The following is a 16,623-nucleotide window of genomic DNA, read 5'->3' as shown; positions in this document are numbered from 1 at the left end:
GAGGTTAATTACTCCCAATGTTTCATTGATAATTAGAAGGTAAAGCCAAATTTCAAACTAAGGTCAAACAGCAAAGCCCAAATCTTTTTTTTTTTTGAGAGAGTCTTGCTCTGTCGCACAAGTTGGAGTGCAGTGGTGTTATCTTGGCTCACTGCAACCTTCGCCTCCCAGGTTCAAGCGATTCCCCTGCCTCAGCCTCCTGAGAAGCTGAGATTACAGGCATGAGCCACCACATCTGACTAACTTTTGTATTTTTTGTAGAAACAGGGTTTCACCATGTTGGCCAGGCTGGTCTCGAACTCCCGACCTTAGGTGATCCACCCTCCTCGGCCTCCCAAAGTGCTGGGATTACAGGTGTAAGCCACTGCACCTGGCCAGCAAAGCCCATAATCTTTTACTTCATAAGCTTCCTCCATTTTGTTTTGTTTTTTTTGTGTGTGGGGTTTTGTTTTGTTTTTTTTAAATCACTTGTTGGCCTATTAGGCTTGAGCTTCTTAAGGTAAGGGATTATGACCTTCATGCTCATATGTTTGTACCTAGCACAATGCTTAGTATAAAATAAGTGCTCAGTAAATGTTGGTGGAATGAATGAATGAAAGAAAGAATGAATATACAATTTTGTTGCTTCAGATAAATTTGTTGTATTTTTAAATTTCAGGGAGCATGTAAGTTGCCAGATTTCCCTTCTGATGAAGTGTTGGGAAGAGGGGTCCCTATGGAGAGAGGAGGATTATTTCACCAATGAGGCAAATCCAGGAGTCATTAAAATTGGGCTATCCACTTGAACTCATGGACGATCCTAAAGAGCTCAACCTCCACTAGGCTTCCCCATAGAGTAATTGGAATATAAACAATCTCTGAACTCATTCATCCATTCAACAAGTATTAAGAGTTCTCTCTATGTGACGAGCATTGGGCTGGGCTTGGGGAAACAAGAGTCAGCACAAATAGTCATGGTCCTTAAAGTGGACTCCTGTTGTTTGCCTGTCCAGCATCTCTTCTGCTAACAGAACCACTCTTTTCTCTTGAGAAAATATTCTTCCTATTTTCAGACTGTGTGTTTTAGCTTGGGCTAGTTTCCAATTCTTGGCTTTGAGTTTGGGCACTTGGCCAGGCACGACCAATCATTGTGTTGTGTCCTCTCTATCCACAGTGATTGGTTTAGGAATGGTCATGTGGCTCCAGTTGGGTAAATGATTATCAGCAATGAGTTTTTGACTGGAATTAGAGTCATACATCACTTCTCAATGGGGCTCATTGAGAATACACTCTGAGAAATGTGTCCTTAGGAGATTTCATCATTGTGTGAACGTCATACAGTGTACTCACACAAACCTAGATGGGATAGCCTACTACACACCTAGGCTGTATAGTATAGCCTGTTTATTCTAGGCTACAAATATGTACAGCATGTCACTGTACAAAACACTGTAGGCAATTGTAACACAATGGTAAGTATTTGTGTATCTAAACATAGAAAAAGTACAGTAAAAATATAGTATAATCTTATAGGACCACCACCATATATGTGGTCCATTGTTGTTTGCAATATTCTTATGTAATACGTAACTGTATTCAAAAAGTGATGCTTTATTTCTTCTGGTTAAATATAAACCTGGAACTACTGACAGAGAATAAAATCAATACAAAGGAAATCAGAGCTGAGATTTTGAGGGAGCAAGAGTAGACTGATGGCATAATTTCAGGCTTTAGAAATGGCCACATCTAAAGCCAGCAGAAGCCCTGGATTTCCCATTCACATGAGCCAATACATTCCCTTTTCTTCTTAAGCCATTTTAAGATGGATTTCTTTCACTTACAATGAAATGAGACCTAAATAACAATAACATTGGCTCTTGGAAGTGAGGTTTTGTAAGTGACATCCTAAAATGTAGAACTGGCTGAGTCACAGTAGGTTGCAGAGCACCAAGAATTTCTCTGTTCTTGGCTGGGAAGTCGGCTGGATTGAACTGTTTTATGTAATATTATTAAGGCTCAAACCATGTTCTAGAGATAGAAAATATAATTATATTGGAGAGAATTGTCTATTCCTTATGGCCTTCAGTAATGCCCTGTAAGGAAGAAGGAAGCAATGGGAAGAAGAGAGAACTTCTCTCAGAGAAGCCCACCCTGTATCAGTCAGCAGTCCAGAATGGCTGAGAGGAGCCCTGTGAGTTGGAAAAGCTAAATTCTCTATCCCAGGATAAATTTAACATAAATGAAATGAAGGGAGGCTAAATACAAAGAGAAGAGACTGGAACCTTGAGGTAGCATGATATCCAACCCCTCCGAACATCATCTTTCTTCCGTAGCATAAAAAGCCCTTCTCTGGGATGCAACGAGAAGCAAAAGAAATTTCAGTCTTGCCTCCCTGCCTTAGTGCATCATTAGTACGGTGGACACAACAGGAAGGCCTGCTGCCAAGGAACAGAAACTTCCAGATGGTGGTTGAGATTCAAGGACCCATCTTTCTGACTGGATTTGACTGAATGCAAATCAATCAAGTGTTTATTAAGATTTAAGAAGGTTGTAATGCCTGAAAAACAAAACCTGACAAATGATAATCTGCAACAAACTGGTCAACAACTGGGGCAGTCCCAGGCTCATGAACTCACTGAGAGAAAGCAAGTAGCCATGGGAAGGGAAACGTCTTATTGTCACGCTTAGTTATGGCCACAGGATGAATAGACAAAGGATTTCCTGCCAGAGCAGAATGAGGGGAAGCCAGACAGGTTGACCAAGGAATACCTTTCATCACAGGGCAGAGATGCCCTGGTTGTTCCTACCTACCATCCACTTATCCTCATGGTAGATGCTATACAGTTGATGATTACAATATATTGTTTCTCTTCTCTTTGTCCAAGAAAGTTTTTAATGGTAGTTATCTTTTTCTTTCTCATCGTGTATCATATATTTTGGGGAGGAGTGAGTGAATATGTCATTTACCATGATTTTCTAGACACACGAAACTTCACCCACACCAGAATAGAATTTTCATTGCAGAAATCCTGTCTTAGAAGAGAGAGGCAGTCAACTAGTTAAGTTTGTGTAGAAATTATGAGCACTGGCTCTGGAATAAGATTGCTTATGTTGGTATCCCAAGTCTACTACTTACTTGCATAACTTTTGGCAACTAATAACACTCCATTGTGCCTCTGTTTCTTCATATGTAAACCTGGGATAAAACAGTAATATCTTTTTTTTTAATAATTTTGTGAGACTTAAATAAGTCAATACGTGTAAAGAAATTGTAGTGACTGGCATAAATTAAGAGCTTAATAAATGCTAGTTATTTTTATTACTTATCTAGACTTCCCTTTAGAATATGTATGAGTGTGTTTTCAGTTTTAAATGGAATATTTGTACCATGTTAGGTGGGGGCATTTTGGAAATTGTATGTACATACGTTGGGCAATGGAGTTGAATGAATGTGTATTGTATTTTTCTTCTGGTAACAGAATACTTCTTTTCCTTAGAGAATCGTTTTTGTGGTACATGTGGGTTAGATAAGCATTATCACCTTGGCTTCTCTAATATGGGGCTAATAGTACATACCACACAGAGTTGGTAGTATTAAATGTAACAATCTAAGGCACTAGAACAATGCTGAACACATAATAGTGAGTCCAAAGTCTCAGGACTCTTCACTGATGCTGCTTCTACTATTGGACCCTGGAACTCAACAATGGCAAAAGAAATAATTCAGAGACCCCTCTCCCCAACACACATACCTGCTGCTTGGCCCCTGATCTTTTACTTCCTGAAACAGGCTGTTCTGATAAATGTCTATTAATTTGGTGCAGGGAAGGTGTAAGGGGAAAGAGTTAAGTGGGTCACTTTGAAGCTAATATAGTCTAATTACCCACATTCTGGTCATTCCATTGTGGCTAGAAGGCTCTCAGTCTCCCCTCTGGGCCTCTGTCCCTCTGCCAACAATGTCCTCTCTCCTTTCCTTCCTCTACTCAGAGCTTAAGTCACTTTTTAACCCCAAACCCAACTCATTTCTTGCCTCCTCTCCAGCCACCTGAACCTCACTTTTGTCTTGGCCAATGCAATACGTTTTGCTTTTTCAAGTCTCTAGAAGCAGACTCAGCAAACTATGACCCATGAGCAAAATCCTGTCTTTCCCACCTGTTGTTGTAAATAAAGTTTTGAAATGCCCATTCATTTATGAATGAAAATGCCCATTCACTTTTGTATTGTTTGTGGTTGCTTTCAGGTTATAATGCAGAGTTGAGTAATTGCTACAGAGACTCTATGGCCAATAAAACTGACAATATTTAGTATCTTACCCTTTACAGAAAAAGTTTGCCAGTTCCTGCTCTGGAATGTAGGCATTGCTTAAGAGCTTGTTACAAGTGCAGAATCTCAGACCTACTTTATTAGGTTCAGTAATTTAACAGATTCCAGGTGATTTTTATGCACATTGAAATTTGGGAAGCTGCTTTGAAGCCTTTTTAGGGCAAGCAGGGAACCCTGACTCAAATTCACAGCACTTAGACCACTTCAGGATATGCAAGAGCGTCTCAGCTGGTTCAAGCTGATTGAAATGGATAAGTAGGGAAGTCCTGGGCCTAGATAGTGGTTCTCAAAGTGTGGTCCTCAGATCCCCCCATCATCCACATCACCTCGGAACTTGTTAGAAATGGAAATTCTAGGGCCCACTTCAGACCAACTGAATTAGAAACTCTGGGGGTGGAGGTCAGCCATTTGTGTTTAATGAGCCCTCTAAGGTGATTCAAATGCAAGTTACATAGCGATCCAGAGACTCTAATTAATTTAGTTTAGGGTAGGAACCTGTTATTGAGATGTGTTAGACATAATCTCCCAGGTAAATCTAATTTTGAGCCAGGATTAAGGACCTCAGGTTTAGATCCTCTCATCCAAAAAGGATTTATTGTGCATATACAATGTGCCTGGCACTGAGCTAGGTCCAGGCTGTGGACATATGTCTGTATCTATACCTATAATATCTATCTCTATATGAATAAACAAAGTCCCTGCTTCCGAAACCATCATCACCTAATAGAGGCATCATGTAAATCAATAAATTTCATTCAGGGTAATGTCTGCTATAGTAGAAGTAGCCTGGCATCCAAAGGAGGGGGGTAATAAACTCACTTAAAAGGTCACATAGGCTTCCAGAAGGAGGAAATATTTGAGCTGAGTCTTAAAGAAATGAACAGGACTTCCCAGGGGAATTTCAGACAAAGGGAACAGCATGTGCAAAGGCACCAGGGCACAGGACAGGAATTCATGAAATTGCACAATCAGAAAGTTGCAAGGAGCTTGGTGTAGCAGTGCCAAATCTGAAAATGGAAAGGTAGACGAAGAAGTTCCCAACCTATGGGGAAAAGTCTAATGAGGTGGACCTAAATAATCTTTAGTCCACTGAGACTTTGTGCCAAAGTTGGTTAGAATCTATCTGCATCTCAATGCCTGGTGGAGAGTGGCCACATGTGGAGAAAATCAGGTGCAAACAGAATGCTCTGGAGGAAGAACAACAGCCAGTGGCTGAAGTTCCCAGGCATGCCACTTAAGCATTCAGGTCCCCATTGTCTTTGAAGGTAAAGCAGATTTCAATAAGTGGGAACTGCAGCAACTCTACATCCAGGTATACACACCCACAGGCACACCTGGGCCGAGAGGAGCTGGCTCGACTTTCCCTAGGAATAAACACCCACTATCTGCCCCCACTTAAGCTAAGAGGCGCCCTCCTCAGCCTGTGGATCCAACAGAAAGATGTAGCTGGCAGGGCCGCCCTAGTCGTGCAGCCGGGGAGCGGACGTGGCAGTACACAGCTGCTGACTTTCTCCCCCCTCACGTTAAGCTGGAACATTTTGCACTTTTCTTCTTCAACTCTTTCAAAGCAAGTCATTTTCCTCCTCTGGAAGGACGCCCATTGTTCCTTTGACATTAAAGATAGGTCTTCACTGTTTTCTCTTAAGGCAGCAATTGGTGAAGTTAAGATGTATTATGGGGACTTGTCAGAAGGATACAACATTATACAAAGGAATGATGTGAAACAAAAATTGCTCTCTTCAACCTTCCCAACCTCTCCCGCATACAGATTTCAAGCCATTTTTCTGCCCTCATGTGTTCCCGGAGCAGCTGGGAATTGGGGGTAATTGAAGAGATGGAGTTTGTGGTTCTCTGCAGATGGCCCCTCTGGCTGCCGGGGAAGCAAGGTGGAACTGGGACTTATTCAGTGGACAGTGCAGGAGGAGGGAGAGGGAGGAGTCAGGGGAAGGGAGACTCAGGAGGAAAACCTCGCACATGTTTTTCTTAGGAATGTCTTAGGAATGCTTACTTCAGGTTCTCAGGGTTGCAGGATGGCTGGTTAGTTTTAAAAAGCTAAAGGTCTTCTCTTTCCCACAGTGAATTCGGAGTTGATTTCCCAGTGACTTTTACTCAGGATGACACGATTAAATATTACTACTGACATGTGGTCCTATCTCAATTTTGAGCGCAGGGTCAAGCCAGAGTCACAATTTCCTCCTTTATTCATTAATTTGACGGGGCTTTGGTTCCCACTCCATCACTTACTAAATGTGTCACCTTGGGTAAATTAACTAACATCCCCCACCTCAGTTTCCTCATCTATAAAATGGGAATGAGAATTAGAGTTTCCTTATAGGGTTGTTGTATGGGTTAAGTGATACAATGTCCATAATTAATATGGTGCCTGGTAGTCTTAAGTCCTCAGTAAGTGTTTGGCACATGTTATTATTTTCATCATTATTAGGCCACAGACATTTATTAAGTGCCACTTGTACTGACCTGTGCTCTGGACAGAGAGAGATGAACAAAATGGGAAGTTGCTGGTGTTCCACTGGGAGGGAGAGTGATGGTTCATGGTTGGTGGTAAACTCTGGGAAAGAGGGGTCACAGGCTGCTGTGGCAGGCAAGGGAGGGGTACCTGCCCAAACCCAGCAGTCAGGGAGGGCTTCTAGAGGTGGTGGCTCCTGAGGGAGACTTGAAGGATGAACAGTGGAGAAGGAGATAGTGTTAAGTGCAGAAGTCAGCAAAGTCTCTTCCTGCCAGAGAGAACAGCATGTGCAAAGATATCAAAAGACCCTGAAGCTTTCCCAGAACTGTGTGCAGGTCTAAGTGCCTGGAGCACAGATAGAACTGTTTGATGGGGAGTTGCAGGGGATGTGGCTGGAAAGGAAAGTCTGGCCCCCTCAGGAAGTGCTTTGGGCAGGAGATAAAAGACTGGGATTTTACCCTGAAGCAATAGGGAAATACTTCATGGTTTTCAGTAGGCATGTGGCCTGGCTACTGGGAGGAGAGTGCATTGGGTGGATAAGAACCTGGTCAGAAAGACACTAAAGGGATCCATCAGGGCCCTGAAGAGAAAGAACTGGGACAGAGGCCATGTAGATGGGGACCTGGGGGTGCTCCTTGGGAAGTTAGGAGCTAGAATATCTGGCATTTGGTAATAACCTGATGCAGGAGGGGTTGGGGAAACACCCCCCAACATAAACCACCAGGTCTCTGCCTTCAGTGACCCATGAGTGATCCTTCACAGAGATGAGACAGCAGTAGTAGCCAGAGAAGACTCTGTCATCCGTTACAGACATGCTGCATTTGAGGTGCCTTGTGAGATAGCCGGGTGGACACTATCAAGAGGCTTGGGGATTTCAGGGAGCTCTGGGTAGGTGATGTGCATTATCCACACAGAGGGAGCAATTGAAGCCATGGCGTGGATGAGGTCACCCAGGGCAAGGAAAATGGCAAAAGAATGTGGCTGAACACAAAGTCCTGGGGAGAGACAGAATGAGGCCGGAAGTCAGTTAGGAGACTTAATTAAAAGAAGAGGCCAGAGTAGTATGGGAGGAAAACCAGGAGAAAAGGAATGTTATGGAGAATCAGGAATGAGGAGTGGTCACAGGCGTTGGTGGCCACTGAGAAGCCAACTGAGGTAAGCATCTGAAAGCGGCCTCTGGACTTACAGCGAAGGCAGGTTGTCAGTGATGGAGGCAAGGACAGAGCCAGTTGTGGTGACGCTGTAAGTTAAGGATGGAAGATGGAAACCTACGAGGCAGGATTTGCCATTAGAAACCTTGGCAGTTAGGGAAGCTGTAATAGAACCTCGTGCTTTTCAAGCACTGCAAGTACCTGTGGCATGTGTTATAAACACAGCCACATAGGCCCTTACCAGATCTGCTGAAACAGGTCTTCAGAGGCAGAATCTCAGAACCTACGCTTGGAAAAGGCTACCTTGGTGATTCTGTGGTGATTCTGCAGCAAGAATTCCAAATGACCGGGACTGGGGCATGAACACTGGGGTTAGCATCAGAAATGTTGGGTCTAAATCCAGCACCAGCCCATGTGGGTTGGAAACCACATAAGTGGGGCATGGATTTGACTACAGATCAATGGTAATTTGCTATCTATGTGAGTGGGCAAGTCATTAGCTTCTTCCATACCCAGCCTTCTCATCTACAAGACAGGGAGCGTTCTAACCCTCTCCAGGTTATTGTAGGGGTTGTTGAGAAAATCCACAATTGAAAGCACTCATTACTGCTTTATCAATGTTGTTGTTAGCTGCATGACCTTGGGCAAATTTTACAACCTTTCTGGACTCTCATTTCCTCATTTGTGTAATAGAAACAATTGTTTCTTACTTAGCAGGCATTAGAAGACCAAGTCAATAGTGCTTGGGGAAGTCCCTGACATATAGCAGGTGCTCAGTGAATAGTAATGTTGTGCATTAGTTAGTGCAGGAGGTTACACTCAGAGATGGTCACCAGTTAGGCTATCTGCAGTGGCAGCTCAAGTCTGTCCTCTGCCTCCCTAGGTACTAGCAGGGTTTGTGACTGTGTAGGGTCCTGCAGGTGAGCTGCAGAAATCTGGGCTGCTGGTTCTGGTCATAGGCTTTGCAGAAGCAGTGATCAAAGGCCAGGGCCAGCTGCCAACTACTAGCCATCCCAGTCTGTGGTCCTAAAAATTTGCTGTCACCCCTTCCAGACTGCAGGGTAGGCTCTGGTTCCATGGGAGATGGGTAGAACCCAAGGACAGGGTCCTCCCAAGGACAGGGTCCTCTACATACCCAAAGGCCTTGGGAAACAAGGCAAAGGCTGAGAATTGAGATGTTCACACCAGCAGGAAAGAACTAGTCAAATGCCCTGGATTTTCCTCATGGCTATTGCATAGCCAGGGACTCAGAGCTACTGTGCAATACGGAAAGATTTGCAGCTCACTCTTCTCAGGCCCTGTGGGAGAGGAAGTGGACAGAGGGAAGGATGGACAGTGGGGTGGTGCTGAGGCCTGCTTCCTGCCTTCTAGGTGCTCTGGGGACACTGTTCTGCTGTTCTGTTTAGGGCTCCTGTTGGAAAGTTGGGCTCCTTTGGGATCTCAGCTACAGATGGCAATATGACCATGAGCGGTATTCATTCAGTGCCTTGCAACTTACAAAGCACTTTCTCCCAACCTGGATCATTTGATCTTTTTAACCACACAATACAGGAGGCCCAGCAGGAAATGACTGTCTCCATTTTACAGATGAGGAAACAGTAACTTTGAGAGACTTACTTAGGCCTCAGAATTGGTGTGTGCCAGGGCCTGGATTCAAATTCAAAATCATCTGGCTCCAAAACTAGTACTCTTTGTACTAGCCAGGAGTTGCATTAAAAATGGTAGCCCTGGGCCGGGTGCAGTGGCTCACACCTGTAATCCCAGCACTTTGGGAGGCTGAGGGGGGCAGATCACAAGGTCAGGAGATCAACACCATCCTGGCTAACACGGTGAAACCCCGTCTCTACTAAAAATACAAAAAAATTAGCCGGGTGTGGTGGCGGGCGCCTGTAGTCCCAGCTACTTGGGAGGCTGAGGCAGGAGAATGCCGTGAACCTGGGAGGCGGAGCTTGCAGTGAGCCAAGATCTTGCCACTGCACTCCAGCCTGGGTGACAGAGCAAGATTCCATCTCAAAAAATAAATAAATAAAAATAAATAAATAAATAAATAAATAAATAAATAAATGGTAGCCCTGGAATGAGAGACAGGAGAACTAGTTTCTTTTCAAGACTTGTCCCCAGCCTTGCTCTATGTCCTGTGACAAGTCACTTAACTGTTCTGGGGCTTGAGTTAGCAATGTTAACAACACAGATCTTGGAACAGAAAATCGGAAAGATTCCTTCCAACTGGACTATCTCGCTGTATTAATGCTGGCGGTGCTCCTAGCCACCAGTTGTTCCAGAAATCAACCTCTGAAGTGCTAACTTCTGAAGGGATGCTCTAGACTCCACCCAGCTCCCCAGGGAAATATCCCTTGCCAGAGAGTTCTTTATTCCTACCTGAAAGCCACAATGATGTATCTGAGAAGAACAGAGCTTGATTTAGAGAGGAGGAAATCCACAGACATCAAAAATCACCAATAGGGCGGCGCCATCCTCCTTGCCAGTTCCTGGCCTCTGTGCCCAGCTGCTCCCCGAGGCATGACCCCAAGCCTGGCTCTCTCTGCCCCTCTAGGGCCCTTCTGTAGCATCTGCAGAAGGTTTTAGGCTGAATAGGTCTCCCTTACTTTTCTGATTGGCTTGTGTGTCCCCAGGGTCTGTACAAAAGCAGCAGCTCAGCAGGACCTCAGCACCGTTTGTGAAATGAATTGGTAACACAATTATCCATCACTCTGTGGCTTTATGTCCACTTAGGCTCTGCTGAGTGGTGTCTTCACTTCCCAGAAGGACCTGCTGTTTTCTTCCTGAGCATCAATTTTTCCTTGGGAGCCAAACCTTGGTTCCTGTAGTTCACAATCACAGAAAATGCAAAAGAAAAATTTAAAAATTAATGAAGCCCTTCTCTCCTAGAGCTCACCTTGTCAGGCTCCTGGCTGGGTGGAAGGATGGAAGTTAACTTTCTTTGCACTCGGGGAGAGCACGTCTGGGGCCTGGTGGTCTGCCCAGTTCTGCCAAGCAGAAGGAAGGCTGGACTTCCCCGGGGTCCATACCTTGGCCTAAAGGCCACTTCCTTTATTTCGCTTTGGTTTCTTTGACCTTTTGGCTCAATACACAGATTAAGGAGAGGGGCCTAAGGAACAAATCCTCTCCAGTGCCACATGGATTATTCTGGAATTAGGCCGCTGCTGTCAATTTTATTTGGTGATCCCAGTTGGATCTCCAAATTATACCTGTAATTTGGTGCACTCTGTGTATTGCAGTCTGTCAGAGAAATCCTATAATTATTTTTTAAGTGACAAAGTTTTAAGGAACAGCTAAATAAATGTAGCTAAATTTAGTGCACTGTCTGTACAATGAAATGTGGCAGGAGGCAGAGATATGATCAGTGGCTGGTGGAAAGAGAATTTTGCTACTATCCAAAAGGTGGCAGCAGAAATTACCTCAATTAACTTAACAAGAAGCCTGTTCTACTCTGCCAGCCCGCCCGGGAACCCTGGCATGCACCTTTTCTCTTTCCTGCCAGGATTCCAGGCCTTCCTTACCAAGCTGTCCCCGGCTCCATCTGCTGCTCCCGTCTGAGGCTGATCCCCTTGCCCTAGTCACGTCCTGCCTCCTCCCTGAGATACTCCAGCCCAGCATTCCAGAAGGAACAGGGTCAGGAGTTCACACCTCCAAGAAACCTCAGTGCAGATCAGCATCTAACAGGGAGATCAGATAGACAAAGCAAGGGCCCGTTTCTGCCCTCTACATACTCCATAGAAAACGAGAGATTTTCTACAAACCCAAAAGCATAAGATCTTGGGAGGAAACATGATCCATACCTCATCTAGCTGTTCATTTAATTGTTTTTGTTTTTTGAGATGGAGTCTTGCTCTGTCGCCCAGGCTGGAGTGCAAAGGCGTGATCTCTGCTCACTGCAACCTCCGCCTCCTGGGTTCAAGTGATTCTCCTACCTCAGCCTCCTGAGTAGCTGGGATTACATGTGCCTGCCACCACACCTGGCTAAGTTTTGTATCTTTAGTAGAGATGGGGTTTCACCATGTTGGCCAGGCTGGTCTGGATCTCCTGACCTCAAGTGATCTGCCCACTTCGTCCTCTCAAAATGCTGGGTTTACTGGCATTAAGCCATTGTGCCCAGCCTAAGCTTTTAATTTTGAGAATCTACTCTGTGCTGGATTTTTAAAATGACTTAGATAAGTGAATGATTCCTTAAGAAAATATTTATTTTGCTCTTACTATGCGCTACATACCCTTCTAGGTTCTGGGTTTACAGCAGTGTACAAAAGGGAAGTGCTTGCCTGCAAGTAACTAACATTCTACTGGGGACACTAAACAAGATAAATAACAAGATAAATGGAAAGACTACATGCTTGGTTATAAAATTACGTGCTTGAGAAGTACAAAGGAGAAAGATAAAACAGGATAAAGGGCATGAATTGTAGAGGAGGCTGCTACACTTTTAGATGTGTGGCCAGGGCCAACCTCGCTGAGAAGGACAAGGACATGAAGGTGGTAAGGAAGCAGCCCTATACTGTATGAAAAGACACTGAAGAGGAAAATGTTAAGTGGGCTGTTGGAGAAACAGAATGAGTACTGCAGGCTCCTGCTTGAGAAGGTCAGGGGGAATTGGAGAAGAGAGATATGTTTAAAAACTAATTACTATTCTAAGTTCAATGTAGTGGTTTAGGCCAGGGATCAGCATACTATGTGTTTTTGTACAGCCTGTGAGCTAAGATTGGTTTTACATTTTTAAATGGTTGGGAAAAAAATCAAAAGAAGACTATTTTGTGACACATGAAAACTATATGAAATTCAAATTTCAGAGTCCATAAATAAAGTTTTATTGGAACAAGGCCATGCTCATTCATTTATATATTTTCTATGGCTGCTTTTGTGCTATAATGGCAGAGTTGAGTAGTTATGATAGAGAACATATGCCCTGCAAAGCCTAAAATATTTACTATTTGGCCCTTTACAGAAAACATTCACCAACTCCTGCTCTAGGCAATACAAGAGAGTGGTTAGTCTTTGGTTTTGGGGTCAGGAGCCCCTGATTCCAGGCTTGGGTAGGGCCACCCCTTGGTGGTTGTAAGACTTTGGGCAAATGGTCTATCTACTCTGTGACTTTTTCCTCATTTCTGAGATAGGGACAAAAGTGCTGTATTATTAGTCCATTTAACGTTGCTATAAAGGAATACCCAAGGCTGGACCATTTATAAAGAGGTTTATTTGGCTCATGGCTCTGCAGGCTGTACAAGAAATATAGTGCCAGTATCTGCTTCTGGTGAGGGCCTCAGGAAGCTTTAAATCGTAGCAGAAGGTGAAGGGGGAGAGGGCCTGTCATGTGGCAAGAGAAGGAGCAAGAGAGAGGGGAGGATGTGCCAGCCTCTTTTTAACAATCAGATTTTGCATAAACTAATAGAGCAAGAACTCACTCATTACCATGTTACCACCAGGAGGGCACCAGGCCATTCATGCATGAGTGATCTGCCCTGGGGACCCAAACACCTCCCACTCAGTCCCACCTCCAACACTGAGGATCACATTTTAACTTGAGATTTGGAGGGAACAAATATTCAAGCCATATCAATTACCTACCCTCTTAGGATAAGAATGAGAATTGAATGAAATAAAAAAAATATGAAACACATAGTAAGTGCTTGATATTTGTAGTCATTATAATGATTACACATAGTAAAGTAGGAAGGTAGGATAAAGAGATTTACGGAGTGAGGAATGTTTGTATCCCCCTGAAAATTCATATATTGAAGCCCTAACCCCAATATGATGTTATTTGCAGGTGAGGCCTTTGAAGGTTAATCAGATTCAAATGAGGTCATGAGGGTAGAGTCCTCATAGATGAGCGCCCTTAAAAGAAGAGACCAGAGAGCTTTCTCTCTCTCTCCCACCACCATGTGAGGACACAGAGAGAAGGTAGCCACCTGCAACCCAGGAAGAGAGCCCTCACCAGAACCTGACCATGCTGGCACCCTGATCTTGGACTTCAGCCTCCAGAAGTGTGAGAAATGAGTGTCTGTTCTTTAAGCCACCCAGTCTATGGTGTTTTGTTTATGGCAGCCTGAACTGACTAACCCAAGGTAGGAGCAACTATCTTTACCTGGGGTAGTCAAAGAAGTGGCCACTGAGGATGAGCAGAATTTCCCTGGGTGGAGAAGGAAGGAAGGAAAAGGCAGAGGAACACATGTGCAAAAGCAATGGTGATATGAATGAGCATGTGAATGGGCCTGGGGTGTTTGCAGACAGGAGAGGACAGTTCTGGCCACTTGGAGCACAGACAGCAGTAATGGAGGTGAGAGGAAAGGATGGGATTTGGTAGAGCTAAGGCTGGAGAGGCACATTTGTGAAAGGCTTGCATCTCATACTCCGGGTAGACTTATTTGTTACGTTCTGCCCATTTGATATTTGAAGAGCTCCATTCTCCGTCCCCGAAGACATTTTAGACTATAGGGAGAAATGTCAGCTAACAAGATGACCTCCTATTTTGTTCTTTCATGGCTGTGGATGGTTCCTGAGCTCCTTCTCTGTGGCTAACAGCTGCTAATCATGGGGATATACTGTGGTGAATAAGAAAGACACGACCCTTGATGTCAGGGAAAAAGAGTGTTATGAGAAATAAGGATTATTTTTTAAAAAGAAAGGGGATGGGCACAGTGGCTCATGCCTGTAATCCCAGCATTTTGAGAAGCCGGGGCAAGGGGATTACTTGAGCCCAGGAGTTTGAGACCTGCCTGGGCAATGTGGTGAGAGCCCTAATTCTACCAAAACTAAAAAAATGTGCTGGGTGTGGTGGGATGCACTTGTGGCCCCAGCTATTCCGGAGGCTGAGGTGGAAGGATCACTTAAGCTTGGAGGTTGAGGCTGCAGTGAGCTGTGACTGTGCCACTGCACACCAGCACAGAGAGAGGTCCTCTCTGGAAAAAAAAAAAAAAAAGAAAGTAAAAAAGGAATACAAGATGCTAAGGAAAAAAGTATACTGCAGCATAAAGTTTTTAAAGAGTTTTAAATATGCAAGTGATGTTATCAGTTTGAGGGTTTTTTGTTGTTTTTAGAGATGGGGTCTTTCTATATTGCCCAGGCTGGCCTCGAGCTCCTGGGCTCAAGTGATCCTTCTGCCTCAGCTTCCTGAGTATCTGGGATTACAGATATGAACCACCATGCCCAGCACTGGCCATCTTTTTGAGCTTGGAGGGAGCACAAATGAAAGAGGCTGTTGCTGTAGCCCATGGAATAAATAGTGGTAGCTTAAGCAATGGAAGTGACTGTGGGAATGAGGGAATGGACCTGAAGAAAAAGGCGTGGAAGAAAGAATTCACAGGGCTTGCTGACTGGGTGTAGAGTGTGAGGGAGAACAGACAATGGGCAGAAATCTGCCTGTGCAACTGCTGGATGGTGATGCCATTTGCTGAGATGGGGAATGAGAGAGATCACTGGTTTTAGCGGAGTGAGGTGCAGTGGGGATCATCAGCTCAAGATTAGGGATGTTGAGTTGGAGATGCTTGTGGGATCATACCTTGAAGCATTTTGCTATCTCATTCTGAAGATCAGGGAAGAGATCTTGGGCTGGAGCTAGAAATTGAAGAGCTGTTAATAAACAGATGGTAACTGATGCCCTGGGGTGGCTGAGGTCACTCAGATGCTGCCCCTCAGCCATGGAATAAACCCTGCATAATAGTCTGCCTTTTGAAAACAGACAGACAGACAGACACACACACACACACACACACATGCACACACACACACGCAAATATTCAATCCCTGGTGACTCAGTGGCATGTATCTGGCCCTGATTGTGCAGACAGTTTTACAGGAAGTTGCCAACACAATGAACCATCTGAAGCTTCTAATGAAGCAATTATAGTATGTGGAAGGAACAATCAATCAACTGTAAACTCAGTGGTGAGAATTTTACCGAGACAGAGGGTCGATGACAGGCTTGCTGCGGTTAAGTCAAAGAGAGTAACTTGATCCCTTATTGGAGATGAAGTACACATAATATGGGAAATTCCCAACCCCTCCACCAACAGTCACAAAGAAAAAAATTTCTGTAACAAGACTGCTGCCTCCCACCAATCAGTGCTGCTCTCAAAACTTGTCATGAAATCCTCCCCCCCAAAAAAATTGCCCACATTTTAGGATATTATGCTTCATAAAGACCTTTTTACCCCAGTGAGATCTCTACAGGTCATACCAGTCAGTGCTCTACCCTTCTCATTTGATTCTTGAATCTCAAAGAGCTGTGCTAAGGGAGATGTCCCATCTAAGGCAATGATTATGATATTCTTATTTCCACTGCTCTATAGCAGTCCTCTGCATGTATTACTTCTAATTTTCATAATGAGCCTGCAGAATAGGTATTATCTGGCTCAATTTATGAGGAAAGAGAGACTCAGTGTTTAAATAACCTGTCCTATGTCACGGAGCTCAGATGTGGCAGAACTAGATCAACCCAGGTCTTTCTGACTCCAGAGTGCATCTCCTTCCCCATGGCCTGACGCCTTCCAGTCTGTCTGAACACCTTGCATGACCTGCCCTCTGTTAAGTCCATTCTCTTGACTGCTGGGATATTAGAAGATTCTTACTGAAATCCCCACCCATTGCACTGGGCTTACCTTCTAGAGACACTCATATAAAAGATTTAGGATGCTTGAAGACAGCAATCATACCCTTTCATTATTCTCCTCTGCAGTAAACACTTCCAGTTTC

The 16,623-nt window shown here is 44.3% G+C and overlaps 1 long non-coding RNA gene across 1 annotated transcript in view, besides 1 other annotated feature; it reads left to right on the top strand.

Annotated features, from left to right (window-relative positions):
• LOC340512 (uncharacterized) overlaps positions 1-16,623 on the top strand; it is a 128,156-nt gene that overhangs the window by 47,475 nt on the left and 64,058 nt on the right. The gene's annotated exons all lie outside the window — the stretch shown is intronic.
• Positions 5,224-5,742: an enhancer, noted in NCBI's record as "OCT4-NANOG hESC enhancer chr9:109812053-109812571 (GRCh37/hg19 assembly coordinates)". NCBI's record gives its function as "activates a minimal SCP1, AML or CMV promoter by ChIP-STARR-seq in naive and primed H9 embryonic stem cells {active_cell/tissue: H9 hESC(naive and primed)}" and the evidence as "EXISTENCE:reporter gene assay evidence [ECO:0000049][PMID:30033119]".

The sequence above is a fragment of the Homo sapiens genome, chromosome 9 (assembly GCF_000001405.40).
Source record: "Homo sapiens chromosome 9, GRCh38.p14 Primary Assembly".
NCBI lineage: Eukaryota > Metazoa > Chordata > Mammalia > Primates > Hominidae > Homo > Homo sapiens.
The sequence above is the reverse complement of the archived record's forward strand: the minus strand, read 5'-3'. Positions and strand labels throughout refer to the sequence as shown.